The sequence below is a fragment of the Homo sapiens genome, chromosome 3 (genome assembly GCF_000001405.40).
Source record: "Homo sapiens chromosome 3, GRCh38.p14 Primary Assembly".
NCBI lineage: Eukaryota > Metazoa > Chordata > Mammalia > Primates > Hominidae > Homo > Homo sapiens.
Genome location: NC_000003.12, coordinates 146,406,559 through 146,431,129, shown reverse-complemented (window position 1 = coordinate 146,431,129; position 24,571 = coordinate 146,406,559). Strand labels below are relative to the sequence as shown.

The 24,571-nt window shown below is 38.8% G+C and overlaps 1 protein-coding gene across 11 annotated transcripts in view; it reads left to right on the top strand.

Annotated features, from left to right (window-relative positions):
• Positions 1–24,571, top strand: part of PLSCR2 (phospholipid scramblase 2) — a 104,572-nt gene that overhangs the window by 64,862 nt on the left and 15,139 nt on the right. For 2 of the 11 annotated variants that reach the window (XR_002959564.2, NR_172559.1), the window contains 2 exons: positions 15,963–16,005; positions 16,311–16,373. The gene's annotated coding sequence lies outside the window, so the exon portion shown is untranslated. Of the gene's footprint in view, positions 1–8,946; positions 9,043–11,986; positions 14,627–15,962; positions 16,006–16,310; positions 16,374–24,571 lie in introns of those variants that run through there. The other 9 variants (XR_002959563.2, NR_172561.1, XR_002959561.2 and 6 more) reach the window with 8 other exon arrangements.

Below are 24,571 nucleotides of genomic sequence, written 5' to 3'. Positions count from 1 at the left end.
CTCCCACCCTTTCCCCGGAAGTCAAGCATCCTTGGCCTGAGGGGGAAGGCAATGAGTGAGAAGTTTCTTTTCCTGCTCCATGAGGGCCTAACACCCAGGAGAGGAGAAGTTTGGGTGCTTGCCTCATGCTAGGACCTGTGTCACTGTGGGGTGGTTGTAACAGTGCATGGAAGGTCAGTAGGTATCCCTGACTTGGAGTAACATTGAGGAGGAAGAGTTGTGATGGCTGGGGGATGGAGCTGTGTTTTGTATTGGGAAGGAATTTCTGGGCACATGGATCAGTGGGGAAGGGGGAGAATAAAGAGGGAGGGAAAGAACAAGGCTAAGAGATGTGACTGCCTGGACCTGCATACCTCTTGGAGGAGACTTGGGGGTGGGGGGAAGTGAAAGTGTAGACTGGAGACCAGACTGAGGATAGGAACAAAAAAGAACACACAGGCAGTTAAATTGCAGAAAATCACTGTGTGGACTCCTGGCATCAAGTTAATTAACATCTCTCTACAGCTTAGGTATTAAAGTTTTAGCTGAGTTTGGGCTCAAAAGGAGCTACTGTAACATTAGTGTAATCAGAAAAAACTCAATAGAGAATTGCTGCTATCATTTAAGGACAGAATGATTTAAAATGTCTCTGGGCACAATTAAGTGCTACTGATGCTGTGAAGTGCCAGAAGAGTGCACAGAAGTTCTCTCCAAGTCCTGCCCTACTCCTGCCCTTGTTATTACCCACCATACAATGGCTTCCTGACTTTCCTAGAACCTTCCTGCACCTGGCCCTATCTCTTTCAAGCCCTGTGTTTCTCCCTGTGCCTTAATTTTCCTCAATTTTCAATAGTATAGTTGTCATTGATAGTAGTATCTACCTGTATTAGTCTGTTTGTGTTGCTACAAAAAATACCTGAGGCTGGGTAATTTATAAAGAAAAAAAGGTTTCTTTGGCTTCCATTTAGTCATGCTAATCTCTCTAGCAAGTGGTGGCTCTACAGCCCTCTTTTATTCATCTTCTGAAAATGCTTTTTCCTTCTTTCTACATGGCTATGCTTCAAATTTTTATACTTTGCCTCCCTTTTAAATATAAATTCCAGCCAGGCGCGGAATTTAGTGGGGGGAAACTGCTTTGAGTATTGTCTCTTTAATTATCCTAGGACAGAAAGTGTCTCCTTTACACAGCCCTTCCTTCTCTCACCCCTCTTTGCTCCCACCCCTTCCCTGGAAGTCAAACATCCTTGACTGTAATCCCAGCACTTTGGGAGGCCAAGGTGGGCGGATCACACGGTCAGGAGATCGAGACCATCCTGGCTAACACGGTGAAACCCTATCTCTACTAAAAATACAAAAAATTAGCTGGGTGTGGTGGCGGGCGCCTATAGTCCCAGCTACTCGGGAGGCTGAGGCAGGAGAATGGCATGAACCCAGGAGGTGGAGCTGGCAGTGAGCCGAGATCATGCCACTGCACTCCAGCCTGTGTGAAAGAGCGAGACTCCATCTCAAAAAAAAAATAAATAAATAAATTCCAATTTTAAGTTATTTCTTTTCTCCCACATCTGTGTAGGCTGTTAGAAGCAGCCAGGGTAAATCTTGAATGCTTTGCTGCTTAGAAATTTCTTCCACTAGATACCCTCAGTCATCACTCTTAAGTTCAACCTTCCACAAAGTCCAGGGTCATGGACACAATGCAGCTAAGTTCTTTTTTCTAAGGCATAACAAGGGTGACCTTTGCTCCAGTTCCCAATAAATTCCTCATTTCCTTCTGAGACCTTGTCAGCCCGACCTTCGCTGTTTGCATTTCCATCAGCATTTTGGTCACAGCCACTGAGCAAGTCCCTAAAGAGTTCCAAACTTTCCCTTGTCTTCTTGTCTTCTTCTGAGCCCTCTAAACTCTTGCCCTCTCCTTTTCCATGTGACATGCTGGTCCCCTTCACCTTTCATCTTGATTGTAAACTTCCTGAGGCCTCACCAGAAGCAGATGCTGGCACTATGCTTCATGTGCAGCCTGCAGAACCATGAGCCAAATAAACCTCTTTTCTTTATAAATTACTCGGCCTCAGGTATTCTTTTAAAGCAATGCAAAATGGATTAATACACTACCTCATAAGGTCAGTGTGAAGATTTAGTGATCTAATGCGGGTCCAGGGACATGAGAAGGTTCCTGCAGTAGAACAAACATAGAAAAAAGGACTGTGTGTTGGTAAAGATCAACAGTTTTTAAAACACAGGGAGGTGGCTCAAAGCCAATGTGGAATATTTGGGCTACATTAAATTTCTGTTTTGCAACTTTTAATGGCATATAAAACCATTCTGAACCCCATGATGAATATTGATTATCCTCTCAGAACAGAAAATAAGTCTTTATGCAAGATGCCAAACTAAGGAATGATTCTCATCTCACAGAAGTGTAGACTAGCATCTGGGCTAGAGACTGTTTTTTCTTAGCCTCATAGCATCAAAATGCAGAAGCCATTGTCTGAGGGGAGTAAAAATCTCATACCCTAAAACCAGATGAAACATAACTGAACAATATAGGGTTTGAACTCAGGATTTACAAGGTGGGAGGGCTATAGAATGATAAGCAATACACAGAGCTCTGAACTTACTATTCCCACAAACCAAGCACTGAAGTCAAATTTTAATCTAATATTATTCTGTGGCTGAAAATATCCTATTAATGACAGGTTATAAATTTATCTAATTTGGAAATGAACTAGATTTGGAAAACCAATACTTGAAATCTACTTGCCTACTAATGGCAATTTGTTTCTGCTTGTGGATTCTGGCCTCTTGTCATTAATATATTGAGGTTATTTCTGTCTGGCAGAGGTAGAAAACAAACATCAGTTTCTTTCTTCCTAAAATTGCATTTTCTCTTGAGAATCAGTTTCTAAGAAACATTTCAACTTTAATCAAATATTGCCAATAGACAGTAGTAATTCAGAGATAATCCAGATAAATTCTCTTTCAGATACCCTTTACAGAGTAAATTGGATCTACCACGTACAAGCTAAGTACATTTCTTTTAAATTGTACTGCCAGAATTTTCTCACCATTGTTGCTAATCACAGGCAGAAGTGCATTTGTTTGCAAAATCCTTTGTTTTGCAATCTAATTTTTGTGTGTGTGTGAAAAAGATAGTCACTCATATAAATGCATTTGTGGCATTTATTCCATGAGAACTGAGGGGGAAACCAATATAAAAATATAAAATTGATTGATTTAAAGGAGATAAAGTTGATTATCAGTCAATTAATAAATACATACAAAGATATTGCTCTGGGCTATTGGTTTTGTTAGGTATATTGACCTCAATAATGAACAAAATTATTATCCTCAAGGTGCTTAAGTACAGGCATACATGTGAAAAGTGTTATGATCGAGTTCAAGGTATATAGAAACTAAGTATTGGGAATGCTGAACTCAATTTTAATGAAATTCTTCCTGTGGGTGGTGACTTTTAAACTAAGACAGAAAGTTTGCTCAGCACAAGAGAATTGGGGAGAATATAGTTTTAGACAGAGGAAAGAACTTGGACAGAGTTCACATCGGTCCTCTGCAATGTGGCTGGACCATTAGCTTTGTATTCTTGTGTGCATTGCCGGTGCTGGGCAGGGAGGGAGGTGCAGCATGTGAAGGAAGGCTAGATAATGCAGTGCCTTGTTAGCCATGTTAAGAAGTTCACCCATCTTATCCATGCTCTTTCTCTTGACTGGACAGCCTTTCCTAGACTTTCCAACCATTCCTGAAAGATCAAATCAAGTGTTTCCTCCTCCATGTAGCTCTCTTTCAGTCTCCAGGAATCCTGATGGCAGGCTTGTCTGAAATTGTACCTTTTTCTTTAGCACCATGGCTTGACTGATTGTTCTCTAGGAACTAATATAGATTCTACAGTTAGAGAAGTTCTTTTTGAACATGCTAAAACTGGATACATGGTATATGGCCTAAAATTGTTGAATTACCCATCTTTCAAATTTACAGGGTGAATTGATGTGTATTGTAAATCTTGAAAGTTCTCAAAGTTGTCAAAGTCCATTTATGTGAAGATATTGAGTTTAGCAGTTGTTTAAATAAAATGTCAATAAAAAGTGGAGAATTGTATTTTTAAAATGCATGCATTCTTTTAAATAAATTGAGGGTGAAGTTTACTACTACTATTATTATTATATCATTTATTTATTTTCTAGTCTTTGGATGTAGGGCCAAAGGCCAAGTTTGGACCTGCTGTTCTACCTTGTCTTTCTTCCATAAAGATACACACTTTATTTTTGTATACATGGAAACAGAATTTAAAGACACATAAAAACGTAATTTAGTGCAGAATACTAGATTTTTACTACCATTTTCTAGTGTTTCATATCAACTTTAGCAACTAGCTTTAATAAGTGTTTTCAAAGATTTCAGGTTAGTTCTTGTACAAAATATTTTTAAATTAATCTTTAATTAAAGTACTAAATAATATTTATCTGCTTTCCGTAATATTAATGAATATGTTTTGCATAAACTGGTTTAAGAAAAAATACAAATCACTCTTTGTAGGTGTAGAACTCAATTTGTTAGGGTAGATGTACCCTCACAATTAGAAAATCAAAGGGACAAATTTCATGTACTAGCCACACACATTCAGTGTAATTTGGGGATCATGGGTAGGTTTTATAGAGAGTTTAAAAAGTCAACCCAGTAATTTGGGCAAGTGAAGATCAGTTAAGAGAATGCCTATCTTGACTTCCTCTAAAGTTCTTTGTCTGAAAATGAAAGCAATAATCACCACCAGTCCAATAGGTAGAATAATCAGACATTTTCATATACGATTTTGATGGAAGGAAGGAGGGAAGGAGGGAAGGAAGGCAGGAAGGAAGGAAGGAAGAAAAGAAGGAAGGAAGGAAGGAGGGAGAGAGGGAGAGAGGGAGGGAAGGAGGGAGGGAAGGAGGGAGGGAAGGAAGGAGGGAAGGAGGGAGGGAGGAAGGAAGGAAAATAAAGGGGGGAAACAGAGAGGGAGGAATAGAGAAAAAATAGAATGTTCCTTTGTTTGCAGAAAAGCTAATTAGAAGTAGAAGAAATGATTGAATTCAAAAAAATTCTCAGTTGGCAATCATTATGACAACAATTTCATTCTAGCAAGAAATCATAAATGGTTTCTATAATCAGTGGTTGAAAGTTTGAGGAGTAAAAGTGTATTTACATTGTCTCAAAGCAGCACTCAATAAGATACTTGTAAATTTACAAAGAATAAAATGATGGCTTTAATGCAGCACAAAATTTAGCTCATCTTTCTGCCATTATATAACAAAAATCCACTTTTCTCCAGTTTCAAATAATAGGTTCTTCATCTTTATCTGAGCCCACACCCCTTCAGTGCCTTTAACTCCATATTTCTATCATCAGTCTGCTCATGATGATGTATTATTTAAAATAGTACTTATTTTATTTTCATGAACCTCACTTCTTCTGAGTACTGACTAGCAGAGTCATTAACATCATATTTATATGAAACAGCTATTTAAGCCATCTATACTTTTTCTATCATACTCCCCAGAATCCTTTCAGCCTGGCCCATTGCCAAATTCCAAAGCTACTTCCACATTTTTAGATATTTGTTAACTGCAGCACCCCACTTCCAGATACAGTTGCCACCCTCTTGTCTGCAGGAAACCGAAGCCACACCCATGGTGGAAACCCCAAATAGTAGATAGTACCAAACTCTACATATGACTTGCCACATAGTACCAGAGTTAATATGTCCTTTCATGGTTTAAGTCCTGGTACCTTTTTTGCACTTTTATGAATGTAGTTTCTTTTGGGCATCTTCTTCCAGAAGTGCCACGTTTGGATGGTATACTTTCCCCTTAACTTCTTTAACTCTTCCAGAAATGTGGTAGCAGCTTCTTAATGGGCAGATACAGCCTCTTACTTGCAATAAATGACTTGATGTCATTCATTTCAGGGGATCCCTTGCTGGAGTCTTCACATAGTTTCAGTGCTTCCTGGTGCAACATATTTAACGTCTTTTCTATCTTAACTAAGCACTTATCAGGCACTATGGCTGTAACTTTTAGATTTTGTTGTGCAGCAGTGAAACAAACACAAATTTATTTTTCCTTCCTTATAATTTCATGGATAGAAGATTTGTTTTTAGTATATATATATATACTGAGGTTCCATATATATTATTTCTTTCCTTATTAAGTTGAGAACTTTCACCTGTTCACTTAAAGGAAGCACTTTATGTCTTCTCTTTATCATATCTGTATTGCCAGCATCACTACTCTTGCACTTTAGGGCCCTTATTAAGTAAAATAGGGTTATTTGAACACAACCACTGTGCACTCAAACTGATAATGAAAATGTCCTACGGGAGGGTGGTGGAGACAGTGTGGATCTGCTGGACAAAGAGATAATTTACATCCCACAGGGACAGCTCAAGATTTTCGCACACTACTCAGACTGCCATACAATTTAAAACTTATGAATTGTTTATGTCTGGAATTTTTCATTTAATATATTTGGACCTCAGTTGACCATGCTGGTAACTGAAACTATAAAAAGCAAAACAGCAGAAAAGCTGTGATTCCCGTACCAAGATTTATATTAGGATTTTATTGCTGGCATAACCATCTACCACAAACTTCATGGCTTTAAATAAAACAAATTTATTGTCTTATAATTTCTGAGGTCAAAAGTCTAAAATGAATCTTACTTGGTGTGATGGACTAAATGTTGGTGTCCCCCAAAAATTCATATGTTGAAGCCCAAACCCGCAATGTGACTGTATTTGGAGATGGAGCCTATAAGGAAGTAATTAAGATTAAATGAGGTCAGAAGGATGGGGCCCTGATCCCAAAGGGTTAGTGTCTTCATAAGAAGAGTCACCAGAGAACTCTGTCACTTTCTGGGCACAAGCACCAAGGAAAGACCAAGGGAGGACATAGTGAGAAGGTGGCCATGTATAAATCAAGAAGTGAGCTCTCACCAGAAACTTACCATGCTGATACCTTGATCTTTTTTTTTTTTTAAATACTTTAAATTCTGGGATACACGTGCAGAATGTGCAGTTTTGTTACATAGGTATACACGTGCCATGGTGGTTTGCTGCACCCATCAACCCATCATCTGCATTAGGATACCATTATCTTGAACTTCCAACATCCAGATCTGTGAGAAAATAAATTTCTGTGTTTAAGCTCTCTGGTCTGTGGTAATTTATTTGGGCAGCCTGAGAAGATTAATACATTGGGTTAACATCAAGTTATTGGAAGAGTTTCATTATTTCTGGAAGCACTAGGGAAGAATCTGTTTCCTTATCTTTTCAACTTTTAGAGACCACCTCTGTTTCTTGACTTGTGGCCTCCTTCCATCTTTAAAACCAGCAAATGTTTCCACTGTAACATCTCCATTCTCTGACTTCAATTCTTCTGCTTTCCTCTCCCACATTTAAAGGAAGCTTGGAATTACGTTGGTCCACCTGAATAATGCAGGATAATCTACCTATTTTAAGGGTACCTGATTAGCATTATCTAAAATATTTTAAGGTGCACAAATCATATTTACAAGTCATTGGATATTAAAGCTCTTTACTAGAAAAAAATGATGGAAAGCAGATGTTTTAAGGGTGAAGCTTGAATATTTTTTTGTGTGGACCAAATGAATGACTACTTTATGTGACTTGTAGCATAATCTTTATTTTACAGTTATACCTAACATTAGTGGAGCCTAAATAAGTAATGTGTTATAGATAGTATTGAGGCAAATGAAATAACTGATATTGAATAGAAGTAGAAAAGGTTATCAATTTTACTTCCAAGTTAAAATATTGTTAACTAAGTAGAGTTAATATTAAGTTTCTTGTGAGAATCTAGCCAGGGAGAGAGAGAGAGAGAGAGAGAGAGAGAGAGAGAGAGAGAGAGAGAGAGGCACTGCAAGGAGAGGAAAGAGACAGAACCAAAGAATCAAGAATGTTTGCATTCTTGAGCCCACAATAGTGTAAGGACATAAGAATGTAGTGGGAGTCTAGCCAATCTGGGCTTAGGTCTCAGTCACAGCTGAATATATGCAAACTTCTTTCCCACAGACCCTCCAAATGGGATGCCCATACACACTGCCGACATCCTAATAAGCAAAATGTTATAATATCATAGTATTATAAATACTATAAGAAATATAGACCTCTGATTTATCTAAAGGGTGGTCCATTTTTATTTTTGGCTTCATTTGTGGCAGTGTCCTGCTTTATTTCACAGATCACAAACCTATTATTATACCAGGTTTACCCCTATGCTTCTAGGTTTTGGGAGTTAATGTTTGGAGAATTATATGCACTGAAGTGAAGAGTAATTTAGAGTTACAGCCACATATAGACTTATTTGTGTTCCATTGGAGGAAGGTCTTGGGAGAAATTTGTTCTACAAATGAACAAAGAGAATAAATAATTTGAAACATGTCAAGTACATTGACCAGCTTGCTCACTAAGAATCTGTCTTCTTGTTTCCCTTGTTGGCTCAAGTCAGAACCAGTGTAGCTAATAAATTATGCAGTGCATAGCTGTTCCAACTTGGTCCGCTAAGTGGAACCATGTATAACCAGTTCCATCAATGGGAAACCCGGAAACTGGAATGATGAAAGTTTATTTTCTGATGACTGTGATAACACCAGTCATAGCTGTCTTCAATTAGGTTGCTGTCCCTGTCCTCTCTATTTACCAGGAATTTCAGCCACCTGCAGGCTGGGTGGGTGGAGAAAAAGGAGTTACAATTTATATAAATAAGAAATAAAGAAAAGACAAAAATAACACAAAAACACTTTGTGTGGGATTTGGATCAGCTACGTTCATGGGCCAGTTTTTTAATCTGTGACTCAAAATCTAAAATATCACCCTGGAGACTTGAATTATCAAGCAATTCCTGCAGATTCCTGTTTGTTTTCTTGTTTAATATTACTCATACCAGATCACACTCTGACTTCTAGGCATGAATGATGTGAATGAAGTTCTCTCAGAGAAACTCCTCATGGAGGTGCCAGCCAGAATGGGTAGAAAAAGGTAACCCTGATGCCAATAGAAGATTAAAGACAATATCTTATATCTGTGCACTTGTATGTCTCTGAGAGCTTTGTTTTATGACTCATATTGACCAGAACTGAATCTGTTAGCCATCGCTCATGACTCAACTGCCTGCTGGGGCCAGGCAAATAAGATAAATACATGATGCTGTAGATGTCTTAAAAGACAGCCAAGAATGAACAAAGGTAGGACACTGAAAGTGCTGCTCAGCTAATGTCTCTCAAATTAAAAACAAATACGCAAACTATTTTTCTGGCTAAGCCCTCACCTGTTCTGGCCTGATTTGGCCCAAAGGTCCCCATTTGCACTAACCTACCAATTGTGTTGTCACACCCATTCACTACTTTCAGAAGCAGACGACTTATAAACACATGTGAGTATTCATAGAACTAATTACCTTCAAAATTCTGAATGGAATGTTTATTGTTGTGGTGGCTTGGATCTCCCCATCTTAGACTCTTCCTAACAGCAACTTTGAGAGACAGTGGGTTGTGGGCCAGACAGAGGACCAAACCGTTTCAACTTACCTGTCAGATAGCCATTCCACATGTAGTTTCCAGAAACTATTCTGTTTCAAATGTTGATGTCCATAACTGACAACTGCCCTTTGTTTATGTCTATAGTCCTTTTCATTGCTGATCTAATTGAGATTTTATATATCTCACACCAAGAAATAGTAGTCTTCAGGCTAAAGAATCTATAACCTTTCTGATGCTTCATTGCTGCTGATCTAATATGAGATAAAATTCTGCTCTCTTTTGTAGAATATGCCTAGGTTTCTGGGTTTAGTATATTATAAATATGAGAGACCCACATAGATCTTCAGTATACAAAGTAGGAGGCAGACATTTATGTTTGTATCTAGGTGACACAGAAATAAACAACATAGATGCAGAGTAAAAAAGTCTTCAACCCCATCTTTCTTCTGATTTATGATTAAACATTTCTGTAAAATATATATGTACAAGCCTCTTTTGTCCTGCCCTAATACATTTTCTCCATCTATACTCTCCACTTTCCTTCCATGGCCCATCACAGCTGCTTCTGCTGTTTCTCTTTGGGATATCTGGGTTCTCTTTTTAGCTCTTTCATTAATAAATCTAAGTGACCACACAACATCTCTAAGGCTCATCTTTTTGATCTATTAAACTGAGATGAGATTTGAACTAGGAATAATCTATAAGGTCCCACACTGAACCAACTACGAATCTTTTTTGTATGTATGAGATTTCATGAATTCAGCCAGAATTTTATTCTAGAATTAACAAACCTATAATTGGGCTGAAGCATAATACAATACGCCTATTTTCTCTAAGGATTCAGGTAAATTATCCATTTTATATAATTGTGTGGTCATCACTGTTGTTTGAAGATCTATAATATAGAAAGTATTTATATCATGACAATATTTAAAAATTGTTTGTATTTCATGTTCACCAGCAGCAATATATTGCTTTATTAAACTAGAGATAATCAATAATAGAGCAACAATTTAAAGTTGAGATTCTTTGAGAAAACAATTGAAAGACAACCAATTTATTCAGCATGATTGCTTTATATCTTTTTGCTTGGTTACAAGTGTTAAAAAAATCAACACAGCGTTACTTAGCAAACATTAAAAACACATATATTTATATGTACATATACAACTATATATACAATATTACACTGTATAAAACCAATATATTTATTGAAAATATAGAAAAATTAATAAGTAGGTAATTGGAATTTTTTAGAAGTGTATTTGTCATTTATATATTTGTGTATTTACCAGTGCACATAGATGCTATATTTTGATTTGTTTCCTAGTAATAGTCTCCCTACATATGTTGATTATTTTACACAAATTTAGAGTGAGGGTGTCTGAAAATCTACTCCTCTATAAAAGCAATCAGAATACTGGTAAAACTTGTCAACATCAATCTTCAGAACTTGGAAAATTAACCAAAGGCTTGCAACAATCTGAAGAGCATTTATTCAAGAAAAATGGGAAAATCTCAGTAAGAAGAGTGAGCTTTGTGACATTTTGATTTACCTTATTTCCATCACCTTCTCCTCAGCATCACAGAAGTCTTGGAATTCAACTACCTTGAAGTTACAGTAGCCATAATGTGATTGATAGAATAATGGCCCCCAAGGATGTGCAAATCACAATCCCCCAAACCTATAATTACGTTGTCCTAAACAGCAAAAGTTACTGCACATATGTGATTAAGTTAAGGGCTCCAAATATGGAGAAATTATCTTGTATTGTCTATGAGGCCTCGATATAATCACAGGTGACCTTATAGGACAAAGGCAGAAAGTAAAAGAGGGAAGGAGACGCTATACTGCTGATTGTGAAGATGGAGGAAGGAGGCCACAAACCAAGGGATACAGGCAGCCTCTGGAACATGGATAAGGCCAGAAAACAAAACAAAACAAAACCTGAAACAAAACATATTTTTTGTTTCCTTAGAGCCCCTAGAAAGAATAGAGTCCTGCCGATTCAAGTTTGATTTCTTAACTTCATAACTGTAATATCATACATGTGTTGTTTTAAGCCACTAAGTATGTAGTGATGTGTTATAGCAGCAACAGGAAATTAATACAGGTTTTGGTACGTGGAAGTGGGACATTGTTTGCTGTAGCAAGTACCTAAAAATACATAAGTGGCTTTGGAATTGTGTAATGGGTTTAAGCTGGAAGAACTTTGAGGAGCATAATAGAAAATTCCTGGATTACTTTACAAGACTGTTAGTGGAAATATTGTTATTAACAGTACTGTATGTGAGAGCTCAGAAGGAAGTTATAGGAAACATGAAGAAACTGTATTCTTTTTATATAATGATAGAATGCTTAGCTGAACTGTGTCATAATGTTATTTTGAAAGATAAATTTGATTTTTAGTTGGGATTCCAAGCAAAGTATTGAAATTGTGGTTTGGTTTCTTCCTTTTGCTTATAGCACAATGTGGGAGATAAAAAAGAAGAGAGAGAGAAAAAAAATCTTGAGAGAATTTTAAGAAAAAGGAATCAGGACTTGATGATTTAGAAGATTTTCATCTTATCCAGATTGCACAAGACACTAAAATGAGCACATTCAATGTCAGGAAATTGTGCTCTGGAGAGAAGGCAAAGGGAATGGCTGGACAACCTTTTGCTAATGCTTCTGAAGCAGCAACATTTCAGAGTATTCAATCACACAAAGGACTCTTTGAAGAGTTTAGGTGTGTGATTTTTGGTTCTAAGCAGAAACCAGGAATGAAGTTGGCATTATCAAGGAAATATCAATGGAGGAGCAAATGACAGGGAAAGGAAGAAATAAAAGAAATTCACTAGAATTGCAAATGAAAACTGCCTAATAACATTACTCAGCTGAAAACACATGCTTCCCCTTAAGAAAAATGAAGAATGATTCTGAGGGCAGAGCTGCAGGACAAGAGGGCAGAATCCTGAAGCCAGAAGGTGAAACTGACAGCCACAGAGGATTATTTCAAGTCCTCAAAACCTAGTAGAGCCTCACATGCTGGATTTCAAAATTATTTGGATTAATGATTCCTTTTTTCATTCTATATTCTCCCTCTTTGAACAGAAATGCCTCTAACAGGGAAACTATGCCTGTCCTACATTGTGTTATGAAAAGAGTAACATGTTTTCTTGTTTTACAAATCTAAGTTTGAAGAGAAATTTTTACCCATAATGGATCATACCCACAGTCACAACCGATGCAAGATTTACATGGTGAGATTTTGGATGTTTCAGCTGATGAGGTTTATTTGAGATTTTGGACTTAAGTAGATACTGTAATGTGTTGAGATTTTGGAGATTTGATATGGGGTTTATATACTTTGCATGTGAGATAGCTAGTCCTTTAGGGGAACCAAGAAAGAAATATTGTAGACAGAACAATGGTTCCCCAACATACCTATATCATAATCCAGAAAGCCAGTAGATATATTACCTAGATGAAAAAAGGTATTTTTCAAACATAATTGCATTAAGGATCTTTAGATCTTTTAACACAAGTCAAATTATCCTGTGTTATCTGAGTGGATCAAATGTAATTACAAGCCTCCTAATGAGAGAATACAAGATCAGAAGGTAAAACTAGAAAAGAGAAAGAAAAATATAATTCCTACAGCCTCCAGCACAAAGGCAACCCTGAGGACCCATTGCAAACTTCTGACCACCAGAAATTGTAAAGCAGTACATTTGTGTTGATTTTTTTAATTGATACTTAATATTTTATGTATTTAGGTGCTACATGTGAGTATTTGTTAAATGCAGAAAATGGGTAATGATAAAGTCCAGGGTATTTGGAATTATCCATCACCCTGAATATTTATCATTTCTTCATGTAGAAAATATTTCAAATCCTCTCTTCTAACTACTTTGAAATATACAATACATGTTGCTAACTAAAGTCAGCCAGCTTTCCTTTTGAACATTAGAACTTGTAAAATGGAGTAGCCACTTTGGAAAACATTTAGCAGTTTCTCATAAATTTAAACATACAGTTGTTAACTGACCCATCTAAAATAATAATAATAGTAACTTAAGTTTGTATCATCCTCTCTTCTGCTAGGATTCTTTCTTTACTTCTCTTTACCTCATCTCTTATTTCATAGTCAATATCTTTGGAATGCAAACCTGCTATTTAAAATTTACTCTTGTTTTTGGCAGTAAACATTTTTCAAAGTATGTTTCTTCTTTGTCATTATTAATATTTGTCTCTTGTCTACATGTTGTGGCCTCTTAGTTACAAGTTCAAATTTTTTCTTGTATCTATTTGAGAGTAGTTCACACAATATTTGCCACAAAATAATGTAAGTTCTGCAATATTTTCAATGTATTTGTAGGCACTGTTAGAATCCTCCTCTTAAATTTTGAGCTGGAAACAGGGTTTGTAGATGGATTTATTTTATAAGTTTTATTCTGAGCAACCTAAGGAAAACACAGAGAATAACAAAATCCTAATTAGGGCCAATTAGAAAATTTGGCTCCATAGAGATGCATTCTAATTTTGTTAGAATCATGGTGCTGGAGACAGAGATCTACTCAAACCTCATTTTAAGATGATTTATCTTGTCTTTACTTGGGACAAAATGTTGCCATGTTTACCAATGCTCATTCTTCAAGATTGGTGTAGGTAAAATCCAGCCATTTCAAATGATTCTGAAACATAAAGATTTAATTGTGTTTAAATAGATTAAAGTCACATGGGAATATCAATTTGCACTCAGTTTATCATGACTGTATTAACTAGTACTTGTACTCCTAAAATTCCTTTTTGGTATTTGATAAGAGACAGACTTCATATATAAAACCACATATATTAAAAACAATTTACAAAATAAAAGATGAATCATGTTTACACCATTAAATGTAGAAAAGCTAAAACTGTAGTTGTATATTCCTGTCTCTAACCAAGCTAATATGTTTTGATAATGTTAGATGTTAAACATAAAAGGCTAAATATTTTCAATTTGTCATACTCTAAAGCACTTACATAATCCAGTTTATGGCTATTTATGACCTACGACCCTGGTTGTCTACACCAGAGACAATAACCAGCTGTCCACTTGGATTAGAGTATTTGCATCAGGTATGGCAATGTGTTTCTCAACTTACTTGATCCATAACAACATGAATTTAGATCGTTCCAGAATATAACTTGTTATAAAAAATTTTGACTGTGGATTAAAATACTGTGACTTTAACATTAAGATTTTTATATTTTATTTATATTTAAATTTTTATTTTTGATAGAGATAGTAAACTTACACTTTACATATTATAATATTGTTACATACAAATTTATTTCCTAGGAATCTCATTTAAAAACAAATGCCTACTTTTGGCCAGATGCAGTGGCTCACGCCTGTAATCCTAGCACTTTGGGAGGCTGAGGCGGGCGGATCATGAGGTCAGGAGATAGAGACCATCCTGGCTAACACGGTGAAACCCCGTCTCTACTAAAAATACAAAAAATTAGCCAGGCGTGGTGGTGGGCACCTGTAGTCCCAACTACTCAAGAGGCTGAGGCAGGAGAATGGTGTGAACCCGGGAAACAGAGGTTGCAGTGAGTCAAGATCGCGCCACTGCACTCCAACCTGGGTGACAGAGCTAGACTCTGTCTCAAAAATAAAATAAAATAAATAAAAATAAATAAATGCCTACTTTTAAAATAGGAAATTGTATTTTGAGAATATAACTTACATTAACCTTGAGAATCCTCACTTCATCTATTGCTTGTGCGTTAGAAACCTGGTATGAAAATGTAAAATATAAACACTAATTTTGGGAAAATGTCTCTTATTCTGTACTACATTGAATACAATTAAATCAAAGTTTATGATTTCAATTCTGATTTAATTTCCTGTGATATTGTCTCTTGAATAATTAACTTTGACAATTTAGTTGTCTGTAATCATTGGCCACATTTTATTTTGTAATACTTTAAAAATAAAATAGTATATATGTAACTTCTTGAAAAGGTTGTTTACATTTTCAATGCTTAATTATAAACTTGTCATAAATTATGATATAAATATAACAAAACCTTTTAGCATTTGGGTAAAAACTATATTAAAATATTCAAATGATAGTATAGATATTATCTGAATTTCAAAAATATTTATAATATGTACTTTAAATTTTTTGTTAACCAAATTATTGAGTATGTTAACAATAGAGACAAGACAAAACACCTTATAGACTGTAATAATAATTTTTCATTTGCCTGTTTCCATGGTGAAGTAAAATAAAATTTAATTTTAGACTACTATGATATACAAGACAAGTGACAGAAAAAAATCAAAGATGTTGACAATGGATCAATTACTTTAAATATCCTAAATGTAAATATTAAGTTATGTGTTATGTTCTTTAAATTTAATTTGAGTACTTCATAACCACCTTCTTTATTTTTACTCTAATAGATAAATCAGTTAACAGTGTGTCAACATTTTGATCCTCTGGGAGGTATGTACCAAACATACTGATATATTAATTCTTTAAGATATAACTTGTTTTGTTGTAGTTAGATCAACCCCCATAAATTAAAGTGTTTCTTAAGTCTGAGGAAAGCTAAACCTTGCAAACCTGAAGAGAATGTGTAGAAGGTCCTTAGATAATGAGAAGGTAAATGCAGCAATAGTCTTCTCATGGGAAAGGAAAAAATACTGGCTGCAGGATCATTCCTGAAAATTCTGGTCTGCCCTTTTAGTATGCTAAACATAGGTATAACACTTGAAATGGTTTTCCCACCCTGATTTCCTCAAATACAGGTATTTCAGAGAAGCAATAATTCCAGATTCTTCAGAAATTTTGTTAATAGAAGCAGAATGCAGGTAAGTTTCTGGATAGTCCAATTGTGCTCCCAAGTCTGAAAAATTAAACTGTCCTTTAGAATTTAACTGTTTACCTTTATCTCGACTTAGTATGAGTATTTCTTTTATGTGGATGAAACCAAAATGCATGGAAATGAGTGTCTAGTTACAAAAAAAAAATACTATCATTGCCTTTCTTATGCGTTAGCGATTCTAAAACTAAAATGAGCATTTATGATTTATTTAACTCATGAAAGCTCTTCCGTTTTGGCATATTATAAAAGGATGCTTTCTTTGTTTTTTTCTTGCTGAATTATACTAAATTGTTTTATTTTATGCAAGATCATTTACTACAGAAACACCATAAGTAATTACAATAAACAAGGTATATGCTAGCCATTTTGAGAGAATCAAGGAAGAGTCAGATCCAGGATTGCACTGAAGAGCTTCCTCTGAAGTGTGAGGAATACATTTGCTGTGGTTTCAATGTGTTCACCAAAGTTCATGTGCTGGAAACTTAATCATCAGTGCGATGGTGTTGACAGGTTGGACCTTTAAGAGGTGATTAGGTCATGAGGGCTCTGCCCTTATGTATGAATTAACACCTTTATCTCAGGAGTAGGTTAGTTATTGTGGGAGTGGATTCCTGATAAAAGGATGCATCTGATCTCCTTCCTCCCCCTCTCTCTTACACATTCTTACCATGTGATGCCTTCCACTACCATATGATGGAGCAGGAAGGCTCTCACAAGGTGCCAGCCCCACCTTCCACCTTCTTGGACTTCACCACCTCCAGAATTTTAGAAATAAATCTCTGTTCTTTATATATTACCCAGTCTGTGGTATTATTTTATTGAAATACCAAACAGACTAAGACAGAAAATTGATACATGAAAATGTGGAAGCAGCTTTGGAACTGGGTCATGGGTAGAGGCTGGAAGAGTTTGGAGAAGCAAGCTAGAAAAAGGCTAGATTGCCATCAGTGGAAAATTAAGGGTGATTCTGGTGAGGACCCAGAAGAGAATAGCTATAAGGAAGTCTGAGATTTCTTAGAAATTACTTAAGTGACTGTGATCAGAGCATTGGTAGAAAGATACACAGTAAAGGCAATTCTGATGAGTTGTAGATATAAATGAAAAACAAGATGTTGAAAACTGGGGTGAAGGCCATTCTTATTACACAGTTGCAGAGAACTTGGCAGAGTTGTGTCCATGCCCTTGAGCTTTAGGGAAGGCAGAATTTAAGCATAATGAATGAGGATATCTAGCAGAAGGAATTTCTATGCAAAATATTGAAGGAACTGCATGATTAGTTTTAACCACTTATAGTAAGATACAAGAGGATAGAAATGACTTAAAATGGAATTTATAATTAAAAGAGAAACAGAATGGAAAAATGTGGAGATTTCACAGAGTAGCCATATAAAGAGTAAAAAGGTATGTTTAGGAGAACAAACCAAAAGTGTAGCCAAGCAGTGGTTTACTAAGGAGATTAGTAAAAATACAAGGGAGCCAGGTACTGTTCATCAAGACAATGGGAGAATGGCCTTGAAGGCATTTCAGAGAGCTTTGAGGCTTCCCCTCCCATCCCAGGCCCAGAGTTCCAGGAGCACCAAATGTTTTTGGAAGATGGATCCAAACAACACTCCACAAGCTCACTGCTCAGGGCTGTCTTGGTTCTGTTAAATATAAGGAACTCCATGTTTCTCTTCAAAGAATCAGTATGTTAGTATGTTCAGCTCTCTTATTCTTTGTTCTCCATTTTAAAGTTTAACTTCCTGGTTCTCTTCACCCCCTTGCCTCTAATTTCAGTAAACAACTTTCCTGCCAGTTCTAATCAGTAGTTCACATCTGTTCGCCTGGTCATCTGCTCTGACCTGAATCATCCTGAGTCACCTGTTCTGTAACCATCCTTCCCACCAAACTACTCACCCCACCACTCCAGCTCGTACCCTTGCTTTCTTTAAAATAGCCAATCAGAATTAGCTTAGACTGTGCGGTCCAACCCTAGCCAATAGGGGAACGACACAGCAGTAGGGGCTATCTGCGTCAGGAATAAGAACCTCTTCCCCTCCCTTGTTCAGGTGTGCTCTTGTCATTGCTCTATCCACGAGTCACACCCTTCTATAGAAGTAAAATTGCCTTGCTGAGAAAATTAAATTTATGTTCAAGTGCTATTTCGTTTGTGGCACCGAAAATTTGTTTGTAACAATTCTCTAGTCCCCATACCTCACTGAAGTACTCCTTGGCTACCTCAACCATGGCTCGAGCAGGCCCAAGTGCAACTCATGCTGCAACTCCAGAGGGCACGAGTGGTAAGCACTGGTGACATCCAAATGGTGCTTAGTCTTCAGATGTGCAGAGCAAATGAGCTGTGGAGCCATGGAAGCTTCCATGTAGATTTCAAAGGATGTCATAGAAAACCTGGGGGCCCAGGGAGAGACTTGTCACAGGAGCAAAGTCAATACAGAAAGCCTGCACTAGGGCAATGCTCAGTGGAGTGGTCAAAGTGGGCAGCTCCAGAGACCACATTACTGTAGGGTCTCTAACAAGCAACTGCAGCCTGAGAAAGGTGCAAGCATGAGACTGCAACTCCTGAGAGCTACTGGGTGGACTAAAACTGTAATGCCCAACCTTGTTTTTACTAACCCTGTTTTTAGACTCTCCCTTTTCCTTTAATCATCTAGCCTTGTTTCCACCTGAATTAACTCTCCCTTAGCTAAGAGAGCCAGACAGACTCCATCTTGGCTCTTTCACTGGCAGCCCCTTCCTCAAGGACTTAACTTGTGCAAGCTGACTCCTAGCACATCTAAGAATGCAATTAACTGATAAGACACTGTGGCAAGCTGTATCCGCAATTCCCAAGAATTCGTCTAATTGATAACACCCAAAGCCCTGAGTCTATCACCTTGTAATAGTCTTAAAGTCCCTGCACCTGGAACTGTTTACTTTCCTGTAACCATTTATCCTTTTAACTTTTTGCGTACTTTATTTCTGTAAAATTGTTTTAACTAGACCCCCTCCCCTTTCTAAACCAAAGTATAAAAGAAAATCTAGCCCCTTCTTCGGGGCCGAGAGAATTTTGAGCATTAGCTGTCTCTTGGCCGCCGGCTAAATGGTCTCTCAATTCATCTCAAAGTGTGGCGTTTTCTCTAACTCACTCAAGTACAACATTTGGGGGCCCCAGTGAGATATTAATGCCACCGGGCAAGAGCCGGTCTTGCTCCAGGCTCCCCCGGAAGGACGGCTGGCTCGGAGGGGGAGCGCCACCTAAGAATTTTCAGGTCCCCGAAGAGTGACCGTCTTCCGGAGGAGAGCGGATTGACTACGGTGTGGGTGCCCTAAAATTCAACATCTGAGTCCTCAGCTTCTGACCCCAGGGTCAGGTATGTCAGATTTGACTTCGATTCTGGTAAGAGGGAAGCGGCCCTGATGAGGGCATCCCTCTTTTGACTCAGCCCCTTACTCTAGGACGCTAGAGGTTTGAGCCTTGGTTTTCTGGTAGGTGCCTTTGTGTTTTGGTTTGGGTGGGAAGTGGTCCTGACAGGGGCCCTCCCTTGATTTAGTTCACGTCCCAGAACGCTGGGGAACTGAGCCTTAGTTTCTGGCAGACTGGTCTCTCTCTCTTTCTCTCCCTTTTTCTATCTCTCATCCTTCTTTTGTTCAGGTTTCTTGGAGAATCTCCGGGAAAGAAAAAAAAAACTGTTATAAATTCTGTGTGAATGGTGTGTGGATGGGGGAGGACAAGGGCTTGCACTTATCCTCCAGTTTGTAGCTCCACAGTGAAAGCTACGGAGTTCGAATGGGCCGTCACCTGCAGTTCCGTGGCGACCTCATAAGGCTTAAGGCAGCATCGGGCATAGCTTGATCTGAGCCGGGGGTTTATACTGGCCTGCCAATGCTAAGAGGAGCCCAAGTCCCCTCAGGGGGAGCGGCCAGGTGGGCATCTGAATGATCCCATCATGGGACCCCTTCCCCTTGTCTGTCTAATAAAAAATAAACAGGAAAACTGTTATAACTGTTTAGATGCCCTAGGGTCAATTGTTTGTTTTATGTTTATTGTTTTGTTCGGTGTCTATTGTCTTGTTTAGTGGTTGTTAAGGTTTTGCATGTCAAGACGTTGGTACTGCCCAAGATGTCTAGGTAAAAACTTCTTCAAGGTCCTTAGTGCTGATTTTTTTGTCACAAGAGGTTAAATTTCTCATCAGTCATTTAGGCTGGTCACCACAGTCCTGTCATTTCTGCCAGAGGCAAGTCAGGTGTTGTTACAAGAACGAGTGTGAAAAACATACACCTGATTAGGATTTCTGGCACCATGAAGGTTGTAGGTGTTTAGATTGTCATACCCCACATCCAAGTGATTGGACCTCCTCTAAACTAAACCGGTGGTAGGTTCAAAACAGCCACCCTGCAGATTTCCTTGCTCACCTCTTTTGTCATTCTGTAATTTTCCTGTGCCCTTAAATAGAACACTGTGTAAGGAAACTTACACCCATACTGCTTTACTTCATTTAGATTCCTACTCTGTTCCTCCGTGGCTACTCTCTCATCTTAAGGATGATCCAAGTAGTCCTTTTCCTCCTCGCCCCTGCCCCCTACCCCACACATCTCATTTTCTGGTGTGACAGCAAGTTCAGCGTCTCCAAGACTTGGCTGTGCTCTCACTCCTTGAACCCTTAAAAAAAAAAAGCTGAATTTGAGCTATTTGCCTTTGAGTTGTGGAGACATCAAAGGTATTTAGAGTACAGGTCTAGAAGGAAAATGAGAAGGGAAAACGCCTAGATACAACTGACCCAGGAGATCTTGGGCTGGCCTCTAGTCCTCCTCCCTCAATCTTAAAGCTACAGTAATGTGGTAAGTGGTATTAGCTGTTGTAGTTTTTCTGTTCTTTCTGGTTAATTCTGTTTTTCCAATACTCCAGCCCCCCAGGGAGTGAGTTTTTCTGTCCATGTTGGATCTAATATCTCTGCTCAAATTCTGTTAAATTGCCTTTTAAAAAATAATAATAATAAAAATAGGAAACACTTCCTCCCAGCCTTGTAAGAGTTGGAGCCCTCTCCAATGTATGCTACAGAATTTTTCTCTCGGTTTTTCAGAGAATTATGAAGTCCACCTTAAAAAAGGCAAGCTCCAGACACTCTGCGGGATAGAATGGCCAAAGTTAGGAGTTAGGTGGCCCCCTGAAGGGTCATTGAATCCTACAATAGTTCAAGCTGTGTGGCGGGTTGTTACTGCAACTCCCGGCCACCCTGATCAGTTTCCCTACATTAATCAATGGTTGAGTTTGGTCAGAAGGCCCCCTCCATGGCTCTGCTCATGTGTCATTCATAATTCTACCTCCAAAGTCCTCCTGAGCCAGGCCGCGTTTTCACCTCTACCCTCAGCCGGCTCGCTCCCCCTGTACTGCCTCCCTCTGAAGACGAGAAGAGTCTCCCTCACCCAGTCCCACCACCTTACAACCAGCCTGTTCCCTTAGGGTCACCCCATGTCTCCTCGATGACACCCCCTGTGGGCTCGCCACCCATTGCCTCTTGACTGTAGAGGAAATAGCCCCTCTACTACCACTGAGAGAGGCACAAGTCCCTCCAGGTGACGAGCGCTCAGCCCCCTTCTTAGTTTATGTCCCTTTTTTCTACTTCTGACTTGTATAATTGGAAAACCCATAATCCTCCCTTCTCTGAAAAGCCCCAGGTTTTGACCTTTCTGATGGAGTCCGTACTCCGGACTCACTGGCCCACCTAGGATGATTGCCAACAGCTCCTTTCAACCCTTTTCACCTCTGAAGAGAGGAAATGTATCCGAAGAGAGGCCAAAAAGTACTTCCTCACATCAGCCAATAGACTGGAGGAGGAAGCTAGAGACCTCCTTGAGGAGGTCTTTCCCTCCACCTGGCCTGAGACCCAAATTCCTTAAGTGGAAGGAGAGCTTTAGATGATTTTCACCAGTATCTCCTCATGGGTATTAAGGGAGCCACTTGGAAACCCATAAACTTGTCTAAGATGACCGAAGTTGTCCAAGGGCCCGATGAGTCACCAGGAGTGTTTTTTAGAGCGCCTCCAGGAGGCTTATCGGATTTACACCCCTTTTGACCTGGGAGCCCCCGAAAATAGCCGTGCTCTTAATTTGGCATTTGTGGCTCAGGAAGCCCCAGATATTAAAAGAAAACTCCAAAAACTAGAAGGATTTGCTGGAATGAATATCAGTCAGCTTTTAGAAATAGCCCAAAAGGTTTCTGACAATCGAAAGTTTTCTTAAAAAAAACAGAAACAAGCAACACAGGCAGCTGAAAAGGCCGCTGATAAAGCATTCAAAAGACAAAAAAAAATCTAAATGGTGGCTATCCAAGAGGTGCAGGATGAAATGGCCCGTTAATTTGGACAGACACAGAAGAACAGACTTTTCAAAACCTGAAAAAGGCATTAACTGAAGCCCCTGCTTTAGCCCTCCCTAATATCTCAAAGCCGTTTCACCTGTTTGTCCACGAAAGCCAAGGAGTTGCTAAAAAGGCTCGAGACTCCAGACTTTAAGACCCTAGAGTTGCCCAGTGGCCTATTTATCTAAGAGACTGGATCCTGTGGCCTCTGGATGGCCAAGTTGTCTGCGAGCTGTAGCGGCTGCAGCAAGCCTAGTCCAAGAGGCTGATAAGTTGACTCTAGGCCAAAATTTAACCCTTACGGCTCCTCATGCTGTAGAGACTTTACTTCAAAGTGCTTCTGGTGAATGGATGTCAAATGCTCGCATCCTGGCAGTATCAGAGTTTACTGTTAGATCAGCCTCCTTTGACTTTCTCTCCCACAAGGTGTTTAAATCCAGCTACTATCCATGACTGTCAAGAACTGTTAGAAACCACCGAAACTGGCTGACCCAACCTTCAAGATGTACCCCTAGAGAAGGTGGATGCCACTGTGTTCACAGATGGTAGCAGCTTTCTCGAGCAAGGAGTACGAAAGGCGAGTGCAACTGTTACCACAGAGACAGATGTGTTGTAGGCTCAGGCTTTACCAGCAAACACCTCAGCGCAAAAAGCTGAATTGATCACCCTCACTCAGGCTCTCCGATGAGGTAAGGATAAACATATTAACGTTTACACTGACACCAGGTACGGCTTTGCTACTGTGCATGTACATGACGCTATCTACCAGGAATGCAGGCTACTCACCTCAGCAAGAAAGGCAATCAAAAACAAAGAAGAATCCCCCATTTTCAAAGCCTAACAGATCAAGCAGCTCTCCAGTGCACAACCTGCACCCAGGTGAATGCCAAGCAAGGTCCTAAACCCAGCCCAGGCCACCGTCTCCGAGAAAACTTGCCAGAAGAAAACTGGGAAATTGACTTTACAGAAGTAAAACCACACTGGGCTAGGTACAAATACCTTCTAGTACTAGTGGACATCTTCTCCGGATAGACTGAAGCATTTGCTACCAAAAACAAAACTTCCAGCACAGCAGTTAAGTTTTTACTCAATGAAATCATCCCTCGACATAGGCTGCCTGCTACCATAAGGTCTGATAATAGACCAGCCTTCACCTCATCCATAGCTCAGTCAGTCAGTAAGGTGTTAAACATTCAATGGAAGCTCCATTGTGCCAATCGACCCCAGAGCTCTAGGTAGGTAGAACGCATAAACCGCACCCTAAAAAACACTTACAAAATTAATCTTAAAAACTGGTGAAAATTAGGTAAGTCTCCTTCTTTTAGCCCTACTTAGAATAAGATACACCCCTTACTAAGCTAGGTTGTCACCTTTTAAAATCATGTATAGGAAGGTGCCACCTATCTTGCCTAAGCTAAGAGATGCCCAATTAGCAGAAATATCACAAGCTAATTTATTACAGTACCTACAGTCTCCCCAACAGGTACAAGACATCATCCTGCCACTTGTTCGAGGAACCCATCCCAATCCAATTCCTGACCAGACGGGGTCCTGCCATTCATTCCAGCCAAGAGACCTAGTGTTTGTTAAAAAGTTCCAGAAAGAAGGACTCACTCCTGCTTAGAAAAGACCTCACACCATCATCCTCACAATGCCAACAGCTCTGAAGGTGGATGGCATTCCTGCTTAGATTCATCACTCCTGCATCAAAAAGTCCAACAGAGCCCAACTAAAAACATAGGTCCCCAGGCCTAGGTCAAGCCCCTTTAAAACTGCACCTAAGTCAGGTGAAGCCATTAGATTAATTCTTTTTATCTACCTCACTTGTTTGTTTTTGCCTGTTATGT